The sequence below is a fragment of the Homo sapiens genome, chromosome 16 (genome assembly GCF_000001405.40).
Source record: "Homo sapiens chromosome 16, GRCh38.p14 Primary Assembly".
In the NCBI taxonomy this organism is placed as follows: Eukaryota; Metazoa; Chordata; class Mammalia; order Primates; family Hominidae; genus Homo; species Homo sapiens.
In genome coordinates this window covers 29075628-29095771 of record NC_000016.10, presented here as the reverse complement: position 1 = coordinate 29095771, position 20144 = coordinate 29075628, and the positions used below count along the sequence as shown (strand labels likewise).

General features: G+C 42.3%; 1 pseudogene across 1 annotated transcript in view; it reads right to left on the bottom strand.

Moving 5' to 3' along the window:
- Window positions 1-20144, bottom strand: part of RRN3P2 (RRN3 pseudogene 2) — a 41877-nt pseudogene that overhangs the window by 20947 nt on the left and 786 nt on the right. Inside the window, exons 2-10 of the transcript NR_003369.2 lie at window positions 19011-19116; window positions 17815-17871; window positions 11240-11329; window positions 11004-11133; window positions 10496-10555; window positions 9497-9558; window positions 8369-8438; window positions 4934-5032; window positions 1442-1534 (exon numbers count right to left, since the gene is read on the bottom strand). The product of NR_003369.2 is annotated as an RRN3 pseudogene 2 (transcript). The remainder of the gene's footprint in view (window positions 1-1441; window positions 1535-4933; window positions 5033-8368; window positions 8439-9496; window positions 9559-10495; window positions 10556-11003; window positions 11134-11239; window positions 11330-17814; window positions 17872-19010; window positions 19117-20144) is intronic.

Genomic DNA, 20144 nt, shown 5'->3' with positions numbered 1-20144 from the left:
TACAAAAATTAGCCAGGCGTGGTGGCAGGTGCCTGTAATCCCAGCTACTTGGGAGGTTGAGGCAGAAGAATCACTTGAACCCAGGAGGCAGAGGTTGCAGTGAGCTGAGATCATGCCACTACACTCCAGCCTGGGTGACAGAGTGAGACTCCATCTCAAAAAACAAACAAACAAAAAACAACAAAAAATTCAACCTGGGAGGTACAAATTCAATAGGTTTGTGACAGGGCTTTGGAATCCACATATTATAAAAACTCTTCAAGTGATTCCAATGTCAGCCAGAACTGGTGACCAACAATAATTCACATCCCATGGAGCTCCACATGGGCACTCCTGTGAGTGCAAAGCACCTTCCGGTCTCTGGACACACTGAACTCAACCATGAACAGAAATATGGACTAACGTACAGCTGGTATTTGAGTTAATTATGCCAATCATGGAAAAAAACAGACACAGCTTCTCACCAAAGGGTGTAACTTCCAACTTCTCCTAAATAGCGCTGTTCTAAAGCTAGGCACGCCCATGTGGGCAGACTGAATTCAACCTTCTTTCCCATGACCAACACTCTCCTGACCTCTAGGAAGCCACAAAATCGTTGCAGAGAAGGAAAAGCCTTCTATATTGTTTCCCCCACCAAAAAAAAAAAAAGAAGAAGAAGAAGAAGAAGAAAAGACAAAGCCTAAAGTTTTTAAAATTCTAGATTAATAAGTTGGTTTGGGCTAGTTACAACTCAACCCTTGGAAAGAATAAAGGAAATACTGTTAATTACCCCATATGAGATTTTAATAGAGAAAGGCTTAAGGGAAGAGCACCACCTAGTGACCAAAAGGCAGGATGACATTTTCGGAGCACCTAGCTGGGCTGGCAGGCAGCAATCTGTTTTCTCTCCAAGTGTACTGAGAAGGGAACGTGGGCCAGGCACAGTTGTTCACACCTGTAATCCCAACGCTTTGCGGGGCAGGAGGCGGGCAGATCACTTGCGGTCAGGAGTTCAAGACCAGTCTGGCCAACATGGCGAAACCCCGCCTCTTCTAAAAACACAAAAATTAGCCAGGCATGGTAACCTGTGGTCCCAGCTACTCGTAAGAAGTAATGCTATAAAGTGTACAAGTGGTAAAATGCAGAAATTAAACAGGTATGCTTTTCTATTAGCCACGCCCTCACAGACAGCATCTGGCTTACAAAAACAAACACTGAAAGTTACAAGAACAAAAGTGAAACATACTTCACCAAACCCAAATTCAAAGCCTTGGAAATAGACCAATTATGCTAAGTGCTAAATGACATGGCAGCAAATTACTCATATAAGGAATCGTTTTCAAGTTTGCTAAACTATTTTAATTCTTTCAATCTAAAGCCTTACAAAGATGAGCAGCACTAGCTGTTTCCACCCTTTGATTATGATAAACTTCATCTCCACTTTCATTAATAAACTGCTAACCATATTACACAATCCTTCCGTGGAATCTGTCCCACCACAAGTTTGATTTGCTGTTTCTTCAGCATCTTCAATACCCTGCCGGGATGCATTCACCTATAACAAAGGGGGGAAGAAAAAGAATAAAAGGATTTAAAAAATACAACTATGTTATTTTGGGATGGAAATTCATCTGATATACACACGTTCAAGGTGTCCAGATTAGTGCCTTATATCACACCCCGACACAATACACAATTATGGTGCAAGCCTGTAAACTGACCTAGGTCATGAAGGAATTTAAATATAATAAACCAAGCCCCTTTTACTACATACTTATATAAAATCGACAACTATCACATGATGCTCTATGTCAGGTAGCCTCAACAAATTCAACATTTATTCTAGCTCTGATATGGTCTGGCTCTGTGTCCCCACCCAAATCTCATTTTTTTCTTTTTTTTTTTTTTTTTGAGGCAGAGTTTTGCTCTTGTTGCCCAGGCTGGAATACAATGGCAAGATCTCGGCTCACCGCAAACTCCGCCCCCCCAGATTCAAGAGATTCTCCTGCCTCAGCCTCCTGAGTAGCTGGGATTACAGGCATGTGCCACTGTGCCCAGCTAATTTTGTATTTTTAGTAGAGATGGGGTTACTCCATGTTAGTCAGGCTGGTCTCGAACTCCTGACCTCAGGTCATCCACCGGCCTCAGCTTCCCAAAGTGCTGGAATTACAGGCGTGAGCCACCACTCCTGGCCCCAAATCTCATCTTGAATTGTACTCCTGTAAGTCCCACATGTTGTTGGTGGGGGACTGGTGGGAGATAATTTGAATCATAGGGTAGGTTTCCCCCATACTGTTCTCGTGATAGTGAATAAGTCTCACGAGATCTGATGGTTTTATCAGGGGTTTCCACTTTTACATCTTCCTCATTTTCTCTTGCCGCCACCATGTAAGAAGTGCCTTTCACTTCCTGCCATGATTCTGAGGGCTCCCCAGCCATGTGGAACTGTAAGTCCAATTAAACCTCTTTTTTGGCCAGGTGCAGTGGCTCACGCCTGTAATCCCAGCACTTTTGGGAGGCCGAGGTAGACGGATCATGAGGTCAGGAGATTGAGACCATCCTGGCTAACACAGTGAAACCCCATCTCTACTAAAAATACAAAAAATTAGCCGGGCATGGTGGCACGTGCCTGTAATCCCAGCTAATCAGGAGGCTGAGGCAGGAGAACTGCTTGAACCCGGGAGGTGGAGGTTGCAGTGAGCCGAGATCGCACCACTGCACTCCAGCCTGGGCAACAAAGCGAGACACCATCTCAAACAAACAAACAAAAACATCTCTTTTTCTTCCCAGGCTCAGCTATGTCTTTATCAGCAGTGTGAAAATGGACTAATACAATCTCTATGCACAAGACACTCACAGACACATTGTGTAATAAACATATCATCAATCAATTGAGCAGAAAAATGATGAACTGCAAGCCAAATGTGCATGATGCAATATTTATTTTGGTATATCACCATTCAAATATCTTAACATACCACTCAAACCATGCCATTTTTTATTAACTATGCTTGACCTTCTTTGTAAACATTCTAAAATGTTCCTTAAGTATATGCCAGAGAAAGACTATAAAAAGTACATATACAGTTGGCCAGAGAGGTGCAACTCCAAGTGAGCACTGCACCAGTGGGCCCAAGCTCCAGCTCTTCTAAGACCTTGTTCCATCTTCCTGCTTTCCTATAGCATCAATGTTTTCCTCCACCAAAGCTCCTCTCCCCTCAGTCCACAAACCTGCTCACGTCTCCCCACTCCTAAACCACGCCTCTTAGCCCTGCTCCATCCCCTCCTTCCACCACAACCCTGCACCAAGGTCTCCAACAGCCCCAATTCTGCTTCCCCACCATCCACATCCTCTCCCGAAATGCAGTTTCTGCGTCTTCACTGACATGGTCCTCCAGAAAGCAACAAAGACTACCTTCTAACCACTAAATCCAAGGACTGTTGCTCTTTTCATCTTTCTAAAAAATGACAGCAGTATCTGATGCTGCTGACCAAACTCCTCCTTCCAGCGGATTCTTCCTGAGCATCCAGACTCTTGGTTTTCCCCATACTTCTGATCACCCTTCTCCTCCCCTGTCCTAAACTGCATCTTTCCAAAGGTTTATGCTCAGGTACCCATCTGCAGCCACGACTGCCTGTGAGTATTCTCTGGTAGGCTGCCCACCAGCAACTGAACCTGGCCAAGATGGAACTACTCTTCCAACTGCCTCCTCTTCATAATTTTTTTCTTTTTTTTTTGAGACAGAGTCTTGCTCTGTCACACAGGCTGGAGCAGAGTGGCATAATCTGGGCTCACTGCAAGCTCCGCCTCCCAGGTTCACACCATTCTCCTGCCTCAGCCTCCCGAGTAGCTGGGACTATAGGTGCCCGCCACCATGCCCAGCCAATTTTTTGTATTTTTAGTGAGACAGAGTTTCACCATGTTAGCCAGGATGGTCTCGATCTCCTGACCTCGTGATCCGCCCGCCTCGGCCTCCCAAAGTGCTGGGATTACATGCGTGAGCCACCACACCCGGCCTCCTCTTCATATTTCTAACTACCATTAATGGCAACACCAAGATTCGATTCCACAGGCAGCAACTATTGAAGGATTCCTTTCCCTTACTGTCTGCCTCCCCTCCTCCAAACCAGTCTCAAGGACCAGTTCACCTTTCCTCACAATGTCACTAGAATCTACCACTTCCTTTCATTCCCACTGCACCTTAGTGCAGGCCTCCTTAAACAAAGTTTTAACTGTTTATAATTATAATCTGCCCTTAAGAAAGGCCAAACAGGAAAAATCACTTCCGTAGGAATCCCTTCCTGACCCCACTGTGATTCTATCAGATTCTCTAACTCATAATGTATGTTTCATTCATAGCATTTTCCACAACCATACTTTTACATTTGGATAACTATGTATTTAACGCCTTGTTCTCCAATCATGAGAAGGAACTGTCTACAACTCCCAGCACATGCACAGATGGAGTTCAAGACACATTCAAAGAAAGGAAGCAAAGAATGGTGCTAGTGGTTTCTTTTCTTTTCTTTTTTTTTTGAGACGGAGTCTCGCTCTGTCGCCCAGGCTGGAGTGCAGTGGCACGATCTCAGCTCACTGCAAGATCCGCCTCCCAGATTCAAGCAATTCTCCCACCTCAGCCTCCTGAGTAGCTGGGATTACAGGCACTCACCATCATGCCTGGCTAATTTTTTTTTTTTATTTTTTATAGAGGCAGGGTTTCGCCATGTTGGCCAGGCTGGTCTCGAACTCCTGACCTCAGGTGATCTGCCTGCCTCAGCCTCCCAAAGTGCTGGGAATAAAGGCATGAGCCACCATGCCTGGCCAAGTGGATTCTTTTCTATCACTGACTATTGTTTCCACATACTGTGATTATAACAAATTCAAGTCAGTAAATGAAAATAAAAAAAATAAAAAAGAAAAAAAGAAAATAAAAATAGATTACTCAATACTTACATCCAACTTGAGTAGTTTTTCAATAATAAGCTCCAGAATTTCATGCCTCAAGGTTGGAAAATATACACTAATCCTTAGTAAGTTATGAACGTAACATTCCTAAAGGAGAAAACGTAAGATAAAACATTTCAACAGAGAATAAATGTTTCACAGTTATGTAAGAAAAACATCAATTACATGACCTTTAGTTTCAAATATTTAAAAAGAAAAAAACAGACTATCCAGCAATACAAAAACTATACTGTTTCTACATGTATTATGTTCGGTATAATCATTTCAATTATCCCCAGTAAATGAAATTTTTAATTTGCGTAACTATAGGTTTTTAAGTAGCTGTATTGATAAAACTCATATATTATACGATCACCAACTTAAAGTATACAATTTAAGTTTTTAATATATTCAGTTATGTGACCATCAACATAATCAATTTCAGAACATTTATTTTTCTTTTAGAGACAGGGTCTTGCTCTCTCTCTCAGGATGGGGTACAGTGGTGCAATCATAGTTCACTGCAACCCTGAATTCCCGGGATAAGCAATCCTTCCTCCTCAGCCTCCCTAGTAGCTAGAACTACAGGTGCACACCACCACATGAGGTTAATTCTTCCTTTTAGAGAGACATTTTCTCACTATGTTGCCCAGGCTGGTCTTCAACTCCTGGATCTTCCCACTTCAGCCTCCCAAAGTGCTGTGATTATGGGCATAAGCCACTGCACCCAGCCAGCAATTTTGTAACATTTTAATCACTCTAAAAAGAAATCCTACATCCATTAGTGCACCCCTAAAAAATGAAGACCTTGCCAACCACTAGTCTTTCTATGAATCTGCCTCTTTGAGACATTTCATATAAATGGAGTCATATAATACATGTTTTTAGGGTTCAATCATGTTGTAACATGTAAACCATTCCTCTCATATCAATGGAGTCATACACAGTTTGTGGCATGTTTTTAGGGTTCAATCATGTTGTAACATATAAAGCATTCCTTTTCATTGCTGAGTAATATTCCATTGTACCATGTTTTGTCATCTGTTCATCAGTTGACAGACATTTGAGTTGCTTCTACTTGAGGCTATTATGGATGATGCTGCTATGAACATCCATGTACAAGTTTTTCTGTGGACATATATTTTCATTTCTCTTGGGTATAAACCCAGAAATGGAACTGCTGAGTCACGTGTTAATTCTACATTTAAACTTGAAGAAATGCCAGGCTATTTTCCAAAACGGCTGCACCATTTTACATTCTCACAGCAACATATGACAGTTCCAACGTTCCCATTTCTCCATATCCTTGTGAACACTTGTTACTGTCTTCTCGTTCTGATTATAGCCATCCTTGTGGGCATGAAGTGAAATCATTTCCCTGATGGCTAATGATGTTGAGCTTCTTTTCATGTGCTTTTTTTGCAGAAATGCCTATTCAGATCCTTTGCCCACTTCAGTTGGGCTATTTGCCCTTTTATTATTCAATTATAAGAGTTCTTTACATATACAAGTCCATTACCAGACATAAAATTTAGAAATATTTCCTCCCATTATTTGGGGATTCTTTTCATCTTCTTGAAGATGTCCTATGAAGCATAACAACATTTAATTTTGAAGTACAATTGATGCATTTTTTCTTTGGTTGCTTGTGCTTAGGCATCAAATCTGGAAATTACTGCCTAATCCAACATTATGAAAATGTACTCGTTTTCTTCTCAGAGTTTTACAGTTTTTACACTTCATGTAGGGCTTTTATTGAGTTCATTTTTGTATATGGATATCCATATGCTTCACTCTTTTGCATGTTCATATCCACTTCTGCCAGCAGCATTTGTTGAAATGACTATTCTCCCCTATTCAATTGTCTTGAACAACTGGTTAGTGTATGTTAGTCTTCTGTCCCGTAACCATGCTGAACTCATTTATTATCTCTAAAATTTCTTGTGTGTGTGTAAACTCCTTAGGATGACATATAAAATCACCATGCAAAAGAGAGTTTACGCCTTCCTTTCCATCTGGATGCTTTTAATTCTTTTTCTTGCCTAACTGCTTTGGCTAGACAAGCAGCAAGAGCAGACATCCTTGTTTTGTTCTTTGTCTTAGGAAAAAACTTTTGGTCTTTCACCACTGAATATGATGTTAGCTGTGGGTTTTTCAGATGCCCTTTATCAGGTTGAGAAAATTTCCTTCTGTTTTTCTCATAAAAGGATATTGGTGTTTGTCACACACTTCTGCATCTACTGAGATAATTATGTGGTTTTTGTCCTTTGTTCTATTGCTACAAAATATTTTATTAATTCATTTTCAGGTACTAACTCAATCTCGGCCGGTCACGGTGGTTCACGCCTCTAATCCCAACACTTTGCGAGGTGGAGACGGGTAGATCGCTTGAGGTCAGGAGTTCAAGACCAGTCTGGCCAACATGGCAAAACCCCATCTCTACCAAAAACACAAAAATTAGTGGGGTGTGGTGCCCCATGTCTATAGTCCCACCTACTTGGGAGGCTGAGGTGGGAGAGTCACTTGAACCCTGGAGGCAGAGGCTGCAGCGAGCTGAGATGGTGCCACTGCACTCCAGCCTGGGTGACAGACAGAGACTGTCCCCCCACCCCCGAAAAAAAAAATCAATCTTGCATTCCTAACATCAGTCGCACTTGGTCATGGTACATAATTCTTTTTGTATGCTACTAGATTCGGTTTTCTACTAAGGCAACCACTATTAATTATTAAAAACTGCACAGATGATCTGAACATTGTACAAAAACTTAAGCAGAATTCTTCTATGGAAGGCTTTGTTTTCAGGTTAAAATAAGGCATGTTCACAATTAGTAATACATGAACTATTATCTTCTAGTAATTCTTGCCCGTATGAGCATAAAGCCACTACAGATATTCCTGAAATGAACTCAGACCTTGACTTGCACATAGTAATAACAGAAAAAGGCACTGGGAATCCCCAATAGCCGCTTTATAAGAAAGGAATCTGAGTCAAATTCTTAGACATCAGCTTAAAGTCTAGAAGACAAAGTAACCTTTAAGAAAAAGACCTAACATCAGCCGGGCACAGTGGTTCACCAATCCCAGCAATTTGGGAGGCCGAGGCAGGCAGATCACAAGGTCAGGCATTTGATAACAGTGTGGCCAATATGGTGAAACCTTGTCTCTACTAAAAATACAAAAATTAGCTGGGCATGGTGGTAGGTGCCTGCAGTCCCAGCTAATGGGGAGGCTGAGGCAGGAGAATTGCTTGAACCCGAGAGGCAGAGGTTGCAGTGAGCCAAGATGACGCCATTGCACTCCAGCTTGGGCGATAGAGTGAGACTCGGTCTCAAAAAAGAAAAATAAAAATAAAGACAGAAAAAGAAAGAAAAAGACCTAATATCATCTAAAATGAAATCATACAAACAACTTTTCCATGATGTTCTCAATGAAAAGATTTCTTACCAGTGTTCTCTCTGATTTTCGAACAAATGGAAATTTTTCCACCAGTATTGGCATGAGAAACCACGGTGTCCTATTTTTAAAAAATTAAATCAATCCATGTTAACTTTACTTTCTAGAAAAGGAATAAAAAGGAAAACTACCATTCTAAAAGCAAATATCGATAGACATAGGAGGCAAACAGGAACCCCTACCTCAAAGAACTGGAACTTTTTTTGTTTTTTGAGACAGAGTTTCGCTCTTGTTGCCCAGGCTGGAGTGCAGTGGCGCAATCTCGGCTCACTGTAACCTCCGCCTCCCGGGTTCAAGCGATTCTCCTGCCTCAGCCTCCCAAACAGCTGGGATTACAGGCATGCGCCACCATGCCCAGCTAGTTTTGTATTTTTAGTAGAGACGGGGTTTCTCCATGTTGGTCAGGCTAGTCTCGAACTCCCGACCTCAGGTGATCCACCCGCCTCAGCCTCCCAAAGTGCTGGGATTACAGGTGTGAGCCACCGCGCCCGGCCAGAACTGGAACTTACAATGTTTAGCTTCTGAGAAAGTCTGTAACGACTTAGAGAAAATAAGCTTCTGTTAACTCTGATATCAACAGCAAATCGAAGAGGGAGCTTCTCTCCCACAGAAACATAACAGCACTTTTGCTGACATTTCCCACTACACATGTATATTATTTTTAAAAGAAGAAAAAATAATCAAGTTGGATTTTTTTAAGTTAACAAATAATCAACAGACAGAGGGAACTAGAAATCCACCCCTCCAAAAGAAACCCACAAACCTGAAAAGCTTTTCTTAGAAGTGCAATTTTTATTCATATGGCATGACACAAACACACCCAGGGGTTTCTCACTGAAAAATTTTGGATAGCATATCTGTTGAAGATAAAAACAAAATTCCAACCACCATACAAAATTGGGGGAGAATCTGCATACAAACTTTGAAAAACAATTAAAGAGAATAAATAGAAAATGGAAATGCCACTTTTTGTAGAATGTAATGTTTCCTCAAGTGGATACAAAAAAAACATGCAATGTAAGACTCAAGCTTTAATACTATTAACATTTTATAATTTTTACTAATTGATTACAATTTTCTTGAGAATTAAACATTCAAAATAAGGAAAAGTATACTCACAATGGTACATATCTTGCTATTATTTGCAAGGCTCTGTGACGTGTCAAAATTTGCAGGAAGATCTGAAAGGAGAAAAGTTCAGAGTATGAGCATCAAAACAAAACTGAAGGGTGACACGCTTGAAGCTAAAAATAAATGCTGGCCGGGCACAGTGGCTCATGCCTGTAATCCCGGCACTTTGGGAGGCCGAGGTGGGTGGATCACTTGAGGTCAGGAGTTCGAGACCAGCCTGACCAATATGGTGAAACCCCATCTCTACTAAAAATACAAAAATTAGCCGGCCATGGTGGCAAATGCCTGTAGTCCCATCTACTCAGGAAGCTGAAGCAGGAGAATCACTTGAACCTGGGAGGTGAAGGCTGCAGCGAACCGAGATCACACCACTGTACTCCAGCCTGGGCAACAGAGCGAGACTCTGTCTCAAAAAACAAACAAACAAACAAAAAGTGACATACTTGAAGCTAAAAACACATGCTAACCAAAATGGAATAATTTATCAGAGAAATAATAATTTCAAGACTTTTCTCCACCAGCATCAATGAAAATTAAATGGACTAATTATATAAATAATGCATTCAGGACAACTGACTGCATATCAATGGTAAATATAACAAAAAGATTACATCAAAGGTTGTCATTTGTTGCAGTCTACTTATTAGAATAGGTGCCAGGTATTCTGTGCTTTCCTTTTTTTTTTAAAGAAGACAGTGTCTTGCCACCAGGCAGGGCTTGAACTCCTGGGCTCAAGCAATCCACCCACTTAAGCCTCCCAGGTAGCTGTGACTAAAGACACACACTACCCTGCCTAGTTCTACTTTAAGCCTTTTTTAAGAAAATATTTGAAAAAAAATGTTTTTTTGCAGAGACAAGGTCTCACTATGTTGCCCAGGCTGGTCTCAAACTCTTGGCCTCAAGTGATCCTCCCGTCTTGGCCTCCCAAAGTGCTGGGATTATGGGTGTAAGCTACTGTGCCCAGGCTTTAAACCTTTTTATACTTACTATCATCTTCATCATCAGAATCTGAAACATCTACATCGCCTTCCTTAATGATCACTCGGGCTTTTGAGGGAAAAAGAAAATATGTTGTTCTGTCATTGATCTAGACAATGAATGGCTATACAAAAAAAGTTATTGACCTAGACAATGAACAGCTATAAAAAAAGTTATTTTTCCATAATCCAAAGTTAGCCCAATGATTAATTAAATGCACAATCTGAAAAAAAGTAAAGCAACTTTATAGTTTTTAAACGGCTAAAAATTCCTAGATTTCACCAGGAGTTCAATAAAGCAAGTTATAATTCATAAAACTCACAGCAACAAATGAATCTAGACACCTCCATAGGGGTCATTACGGGGAATATATGTCTACCAGACCTGGTGCCAATATGCATCTGGAATCTTCCATGGTAGCAGTCTCTCATATATAAGGGGAAGGTGGTATTTTAATAAAGAAGTATTAAAAAGAAAAGAAAAGAAAATTCCAAGCAAGCAAAGAGTAATGACTTACGAGGCACAAAATGGGAAGCAATCATGCTGAGACACGGTCTGAGGAAAACAGTCTGTGCTGATACAAGATTACCAAGAAAAGCCAAATACTCTTCCACTACTGTTTGACTTCTATTCAACCAAGGCAATCTCTAGAGTGGGGGAAGAAAGATAAAAGCAGCATGTTATTAATATAACATATACTATTACCAAAGTTCTGAATTACATACTTGACAGTAAAATAAATGGTGAACCTACCAATATAATACTGATAAGTTGCTCAAAGTCTTTTGTCAAGTACATGATAGAAGAACGGAATTCTAGCAGCCAGTTGATGATCTGGTCATCCTTAAGTTAAACAAAGAGTACTTTCAAAATCACAAATCCTCTAAGATAACAGAAATTTACAGCTATCTTATATCAATCACTTATCAAGAATAGATTGGGGGGAAAAGGTCACAAACTTGGAAGGAAATCAAAACTGGGTATTAAAACAGAAAAAGATGTCACAATAAACTTAATTGTTTTAAGAAAGTAATCTAGTAACTCTAATACACAGGAGAAAGACTTAAATGCAATACTTCAGCCTGATCACTTTTGTTTGCCCTGAAAAAGCGAAATCACCTCAAATGTTGACACCTGGGACTTTTAAAAACTGCAGAATTCTAGCAGATTGAAATATTAGAAGATCACAAAGGAACAATAGCTACCTCTATTTCCTCTATATTCAAGCTGACCAGGAAGCATGCTGATAAAATTCAGTCTAGGCTGATCAATTGGGATCATGAATAAACATAACTTTTCTAAACCAAATCTGTGGCTGAGTTTAAATATATTATGATGTGTTTGTTCTGTATAAATGATAGCCCCATTCCTCCATGAAATATTTTTCAGGCAATCAAATTACTGTTCATAGTAATTGTTAGTGACATGAGAAGAACTGCTAAATTTGAAACACAAGGTATAAAATACAGTGTCAATTATGTAAAATATTACTATATTAATTATATTCATGCATACATACTGCACAGGAAAAAAACCATTAAGAAAAAGCCCCTAATTTGTGGAAGGCTTAGACATATAAATAAAAGCAACACAAGGTCATACCTACAGGGATATTCATATGGAGTTATCATTTAGTGAGAATACACCATATGCCAGGCATGGTGCCTGACACTCCGCATATGTATCTTCTTCTAATCCTAAAAATTCTGCAAGATGTTTAGTTATTCCCATTTTGCTGTTCAGGAAGCTGAGGCTAAGAATGATTAATAAGCAATCTACCCTACCAAGAGGCCAGTAAAGAAGCAGGTCCAAACCCATCTGTCTCGGTCAAGGCTATCCTCCATCCACCATCCCACATGCCTCCCTATATGCGGAGAAGAAGCTGTCCCCTTTTCCCCACCTTAATTCAGCTACTGAGTGCTTACTATGCCATATCCATGTGTCAAACTCCCACAGATCAACCATTTTCTGATGAAATCCCAAGTAGCCTGGCAGTAAAATAAAGTAAAACCACAACTCATTTGTACTATGGTAATTTCATATGTCCAAAACTGTTAAGGATAACATTAACGGTAGCTCACTAAGGCCAAAGGCATGTAGAAAACAAGCTAAGTTAGTGTGTAAATAAAATTATCCTATCTCTTTTCCACTAAAAAGACTGCAACAAAACTATAAGGATAACATTTAAACTGTACCATTTTTAAAAGTAAATCAGGCTGGGCGTGGTGGCTCACACCTGTAATCCCAACACTTTGGGAGGCCGAGGTGGGTGGATCACCTGAGGTTTGGAGTTCGAGACGAGCCTAACCAACATGGAGAAACCCCGTCTCGACTAAAAATACAAAATTAGCTGGGCGTGGTGGTGCATGCCCATAATCCCAGCTACTCAGGAGGCTGAGGCAGGAGAATTGCTTAAAAAACTCGGAGGCAGAGGTTGCAGTGAGCCAAGATCATGCCATTGCACTCCAGCCTGGGCAACAAGAACAAAACTCTGTCTCAAAAAGAAAAAAAAAAAGTAAATCAGTTGCAGACTTTGATGCTTTAGTACTGAACTATTATTATTTCTACTAGCAGGCAGGAACAGTGGCTCATGCCTGTAATCCCAGCACTTTTGGGAGGCCAAGGCAGGAGGAGACTGCTTGATCCCAGGAATTTGAGACCAGCCTGGGCAACATAGGGAGACTTCGTCTCTAGAAAAATTAGGAACTCTGGCAGTCAGTGGTGCATATAGACATATTTCTGGGAGCTGTCCATGAGCTCATGGCTCTCCTGGCGACAGCGGCAGCGGCTAGGGAAGCAGCCTCCTTTCTCCCGGCGCCGCCGCTAGAATAAGTCCGGCAGCTCGCACTTTCAGAGCACACGCGCCGGGCGCGGCGCTGGGAAGGGGCAGCTGCTTGCCCAGCCCCGCGGCCAAGGTCGCGTCCGACCCCGGCCCGCCGCGGCCCCGAGTCCGCCGGCCGGGATGTAGGTGGCGCGGGAGGGACTTCGGCTGGGCGAGCAGAGGGCACAGCCGCCCCTTCCACTCTGCGGCGCAGGAGCCGGGGCGGGTCCGCGGGGCGCGGCGGCTGCGGAGACTCCGGGCGGGCGCGGGCCGCAGGCCCGACGCGGAGGAGACCGAGGAGACGCGGGAGACCCGGGCGTGACAGGAGGAAGAAACCCGGAGCCGCAGGAAGATGGCTTCTCCCACCTCCCCGGCCCCGGAAGGCGGGGCCTCCACCCCGCCGAACCCGCCGCGGATTCGTCAGACTGGAGTAAAGTGGTGCGATCTCGGCTCGCTGCAACCTCTGTCCCCCTGGATTCAAGTGATTCTCCTGCATCAGCCTCCCGAGTAGCTGGGATTACAGGTGTGTGCCACCACACCTGGCTGATTTTTTTATTTTTAGTAGAGACGGCATTTCACCACATTTCCCAACTGGTCTTGAACTCTTGAACTCAGGTAATCCACCCACCTCGGCCTCCCAAAGTGCTGGGATTACAGGCGTGAGCCACTGCACCCGGCCCAAACTATTTAATAAATTTTCTAGGACAATTCATTTGGTAACTGGGGAAAGACAAAACACTTCAAAAAAACTTCCTGGTAGTTTAAATTAAATGTTAAATGGTTAGAAATAAATAAATAAGGGCCGGGCGCGGTGGCTCACGCCTGTGATCCCAGCACTTTGGGAGGCCGAGACGGATGGATCACGAGGTCAGGAGATCGAGACCATTCTGGCTAACACGGTGAAACCCCGTCTCTACTAAATATACAAAAAATTAGCCGGGCATGGTGGCGGGTGCCTGTGGTCCCAGCTACTCCGGAGGCTGAGGCAGGAGAATGGCGTGAACCTGGGAGGCGGAGGTTGCAGTGAGCCGAGATCTCGCCACTGCACTCCAGCCTGGGCGACAGAGCAAGACTCCGTCTCAAAAAAAAAATAAATCAATAAAAATAAATAAATAAAACCAGGCCAGGCACAGTGGCTCACGCCTGTAATCCTAGCACTTTGGGAGGCCGCGGCGGACAGATAGCATGAGCCCAGGAGTTCGAGACCAGTCTGGGCAATATGGTGAAACCCCATCTCTACTAAAAATACAACAACTGAGGTGGGAGGATCACCTGAGCCTGGGAAAGTCAAGGCTGCAGTGAGCTGTGATCGCGCAACTGCACTCCAGCCTGGGTGAGAGTGAGAGCCCATTTCAAAAAATAAACCAAAAACACAAAAATTAGAAAAATTAGAATTGAGTACTTAGAAAATCCCTGCATTTGGGGAGAAATGTTCTGTTTTATTACATTTTACTGTACAACATTTCAAATATTAAAATAAATAGAGAGTATAACAAAAAAAAAAAAAAAAGAAAAAGAAAAATTAGCCAGGCATGGTAGCTCATGCTTGTGGTCCCAGGTGCTCGGGAGCCTGAGGTGGGAAGATTGCTTGAGCCTGGGAGGTTGAGGCTGCAGTGAGCCATGATCGGGCCCATTACACTCCAGCCTGGGTGACACAGCGAGACCCTGTCTCAAGATGAAAAAAGTTCTACTTGCAACACTCCACACAACTAGTGCAATTCTTGGTATGTCAAAATACCAAGAATGAGAACTGCTGATACAAAATACAGTGGAACACAAAGAAAATGTCCCTTTGTATCTGGGAAAGAAGGCAGGGGTCAGGAAAAGCTTTAAAGAGAAAGTGATGCTTCAGCTGTCTTTAAACAGTAACACAGTTGAGTCTTTTCTGGAAGTTCTGCTTCTTACAGAAGGAAAAGTATGTTTTCAGAAAACTGAAAAACGTTCAGTATGGCTGGCATGTATAGTGACCAAGCCAACAGATAATAAATCTGGGGAACAAAGAAGCACCAAATAGACCATGGAGGGCCTTGTAAACCAGATCTGTAACTAGAGAGATCTGGAAGTGTGGGAAATGGACTCAATGAAGGAACAACCATGTGCTTAGAGAGAACCAGGGAAAGCTCCATGAAAGATGGAGCCCAGCCAAGAGTGGACATGCTAAGTTTGGAGCATCTATGATGATTCTGGGTAAATGCATCTAACAGACAGTTAAGAAACAAGTCTAGGCCGGGTGCAGTGGCTCACGTCTATAATCCCAGCACTTTGGGAGGCTGAGGCGGGTGGATCACTTGAGGTCAGGAGTTCGAGACCAGCCTGGCCAGCATGGTGAAACCCCAAATCTACTGAAAATACAAAAAAATTAGCTGGGCGTGGTGGCACAGCTACTCAGGAGGCTGAGGTGGGAGGATGGCTTGAACCCAGGAGGCAGAGGTTGCAGTGAGCCAAGATCATCCCACTACACTACAGCCTAGGTGACAGAGCAAGACTCTGTTCTGCCCGTCCCCAAAAATGAAAATGAAATAAGTCTGGAGCCCACAAGAGCAATCTTGGCTACAGACACAAATATATTAGGACACAGGTAGATTTCAAAGCCATGAAGGGAGATGAGGAGATCACACAGAAGAATCAACAGAGTGAGAAAAGAGTCAAGTTTTGAAGCCTAATCAACACCAAATTTAAGATCAAGAACCTATCGAGAGATACTAGAGCTTAAAGGATCACTGGCCGGGTGTGGTGGCTCACACCTCTAATCCTAGCACTTTGGGAGTCCAAGGCGGGCGGATCACGAGGTCAGAAGATCGAGACCATCCTGGCTAACATGGTGAAACCCCATCTCTACTAAAAATACAAAAAATTAGCTGGGGGTGGTGGCGGGCACGTGTAGTCCCAGCTACTCGGGAGGCTGAGGTAGGAGAATCACTTGAACCCAGGAGGTGGAGCTTGCAGTGAGCCAAGATTGTGCCATTGCACTTCAGCCTGGGCGACAGAGCAAAAAAAAAAAAAAAAAAAAGAGAGAGAGATTAAAGGATCAGAAGACAGGAGGATCAGAAACACTGAAGTTTTAAGAAGTGGGTGGCCAACAGTGTCGGCTGATACAAGGAATACAAGGCTTAAAAAAGTAAGTCCACTGAGGCTGGGCTCAGTGGCTCACACTTGTAATCCCAGCACTTTGGGAGGCCGAGGCGGGCAGGTCACCTGAGGTCAGGAGTTCAAGACCAGCCTGGCCAACATGGTGAAACCCCGTTTCTACTAAAAATAAAAAAATTAACCAGGCATGGTGGCGGGTGCCTGTAATCTCAGCTATTTGGGAGGCTGAGGCAGGAGAATTGCTTGAACCCAGGAGGCAAAGGTTGCAGTGAGCCCAGATCACACCACTGCACTCCAGCCTGGGTGACAAGAAGGAGACTTTGTCTCAAAAAAGTCCACTGAAATCAGCATGTAAAAAAAAAACATGGGTAACCTGTCAGGGTAATTACTACAGTGATAAGAACAGTGGACTTAAATGTGAGTGAGAAATGATACAGCGCAGTCAGCTGGAACAAAAACAACAGATGACAATTACTGCCCTTACTTTGAGTCAGAGACTGTTCTAAGTGCTTCTTGCATATTAGCTCATTGAATCCTTGTTAAGTATTTCCATGTTTAAAGCCAGGCACAGTGGCATGCACCTATAGTCCCAGCTTTTTAGAAGGCTGAAGAGAAAGGATCATTTGAGGCCAGGAGTTCAAGGCTGTAGGGCAATATGATCACACCTGTGAATAGCTAGAGCAACACAGCAAGACCACATCTCTTAAAAAACAAAACACTCCATATTTTTTAAATCTCTATTGTTTTCTTGGTTTCACACAGTGGAAAATAGAGGCAGAGAGGTTAAAACAATTTGCTCAAGATCACACACTGGATAATAAAATTGGAATTTCATTCCAGGCAATCTAACTACCACTGCCATGGTAATAAACCATTCTCTTCAAAACTGGGCAGTAAAGGAAGAATGGTGAAACAAAATGTATTAAGGTTTTACTACATGATAGGTGTATCTCGAACCTGGAAATGCTGAAACAGTGGTTTTTTTTTTTTTTTTTGGTTTGTTTTAGCTTTAAAGAGACAAAAGAGTTGCATGCAGCATGGAGGAAAGAGGTAGTAATCTAATAGAAAGGAAGCATTAGAGCAGGGTTTCCCAGCCTCAACACTGTTGTCATTTGGGGCTGGATCACTCTTGGTTATGGGAGGCTGCCCTGTGCACTGTGAGATGTTTAGCAGCATCTCTGTCATTCACCCACTAAATGCCAGTAGCACCCTTTCCTCCCAATTGTGACAAAAATATCTGCAGCCATCACCAAATGTCTTCTAGGGGGTAAAACTGTCCCTGGTTGAGAACCACCAGATTAAAGTAAGGGAGGACCATGGAGAGAGCAAGTTCTGCAGAACAGAATGGGACCCAAAGAGCAAACTATGTCTGTATAAAGTGGCAATAATTTTGCTAATGATCAAACACAAAATTAATTACCTTTATGTCTGGATCTAACAGCTGGTTCTTCAACAACTCAAAGTCATTTGTTTCACCCTTAACAAGGAGGGGAAATAATTAAGTTATGCTTTTGTTTCCTGTTTAGTATCAACAGCAAGACTTTTAACCGTACTTTAACATCAGATGAAATTATAAAAGGAACACTAACTTTCACATGTCAATTGCGGATTATAAAATCATGACTACAAAAATTTAAACACTCATGTTAGTGCAGCCAGAGGGCTTGGAAAAAGGAAAATGATAAACTACATTTAGCTATACTTCTGTATTGACATTTGAATATAATAGTTGATACTCCTGCGAATTCTCAAAAAGCATGAGGGAAAAAAAACAGCCAGCTATAATGATCTAATTCAGGAGGATCTAAAAAAGTATTTACTCAAATATGGATACAAATGGATATTACATATAAACATACGGTTACTTAACATTTTCCCTCTACTGCTGAGATATAGTAGAAATGCTTCTAACCTACCACAAAAACAAAAATCCCTATTCAGAGAACCGGTTTACTGTCCCAAAGTAATGCTTAGGTAAGTTCCTCAAAAAATAAAATGCTGTAGGCCAGGCATGGTGGCTCACGTCTGTAATCTCAGCACTTTGGGAGGCCAAGGCGGGTGGATTACAAGCTCAGGAGTTCGAGACCAGCCTGGCCAACATGGTGAAACCCCGTCTCTATTAAAAAAATTAAAAAATTAGCCAGGTGTGGTGGTGCATGCCTGTAACCCTAGCTATTCAGAAGACTGAGGCAGGAGAATTGCTTGAACCTGGGAGGTGGAGGATGCAGTGAGCCGAGGTCACGCCACTGCACTCCAGCCTGGGTGACAGAGGAAGACTCCAGCACAAATAAATAAATAAATAAAATGCTGTAATTGTTTTTAATTCTAGCACTTGCTGAAGTTAAAAGATGCTTTGTAAATAAAGCATTTGAAGAGGTGAAACCTCAGTAAAGACATTATTACTCTCTCATTATTACCTGTGAAATGGGCCAAGGTGGGGGAAAAAAAAGGACACTATTACTCTAATTTTGCACTGATGGCATCATGCTATTATTAAATATTTGATTTCAACTGGTATCTTAATTAATCTTGCTATTTCTATTGGTCTTTAGTATAACAGCAATAGTTGTATTCTGACCTGACCAAAAGCAAACCTCACACATTATCTCCTCTTACCGTTTTGTACTTCAGCAAGACTTCTGTCACAGTTCCACCAAACTGAACAGTTTTTCTTGGGGGAGAATTGAAAAAATCATTCTCTAATGCACGCATATTTGAAATCCTGTGGAACCAAGATTAACAAGCTATTAAGTTCATGAAAATAATAAAAATTATAATAGCCAACCTTTATTGAACCAACATAATTCAGTGGAACTATTGTTAAGGCCTCTTTACTGGTCTCCCTGCTTCCACTCTTAATCAACAATCCCTCCTTTGCTCAGCAACCAATAACTGTCTTCCCACTGCACTTACAGTAAAAATCCAAATCTCTCAGTGTGGTCTTTAAGATCCTACATTAATCTGGCCCCTGCCTACCTCTCTCACCTCATCTCCAACAACTTGTTTTACTACAGCCATCATGTCTTTTCTGCTCTTCAAACAAGCCAAGCTGTTTCTCATTTCACTTACTGTTCACTCTATTGGAAATACTCTTTTCCCAAATCTCTATGTGGCTGGATTTTTTTTTTTTTTTGAGATGGAGTCTTGCTCTGCTGCCCAGGCTGGAGTGCAGTGGTGTGATCTCAGCTTAACTGCAACCTCCATCTCCCGGGTTCAAGCAATTCTCCTGCCTCAGCCTCCTGAGTAGCTGAGATTACAGGAGCCTGCCACCACGCCCGGCTAATTTTTGTATTTTCAGTAGAGACGAGGTTTCGCATGTTGGCCAGGCTGGTCTCGAACTCCTGACTTCAGGTGATCCGCCCACCTCAGCCTCCCAAAGTGCTGGGATTACAGGCGTGAGCAACCGTGCCCGGCCTAGATTTTTGTCTTCATTCAAATAGAAGCTCAAATGACAGATGTCTTCCCAATGAGAAATCTCAAACACTCCTTCTCTCCCTTCTCCCTCCCCCATTACCTTGTTGTATAACTGAAATCATCGTGTTCGTTTATTTATTGGCCTATGTACTGCCTTCCCCCCAATATGCTGTAAGCTCTGTAGAAAGCAGGGACATTAGTGTCTTTGGATAAACCACTGTCGCCAGTGTTTAACACAGTAAGCAGGAGCTCGATAAACATTATGAATCATATTACGCTAATTGTTTTACAAGGTTTGCTTCACTTACACGTAGTAAATTAATGAAAAAACATAGC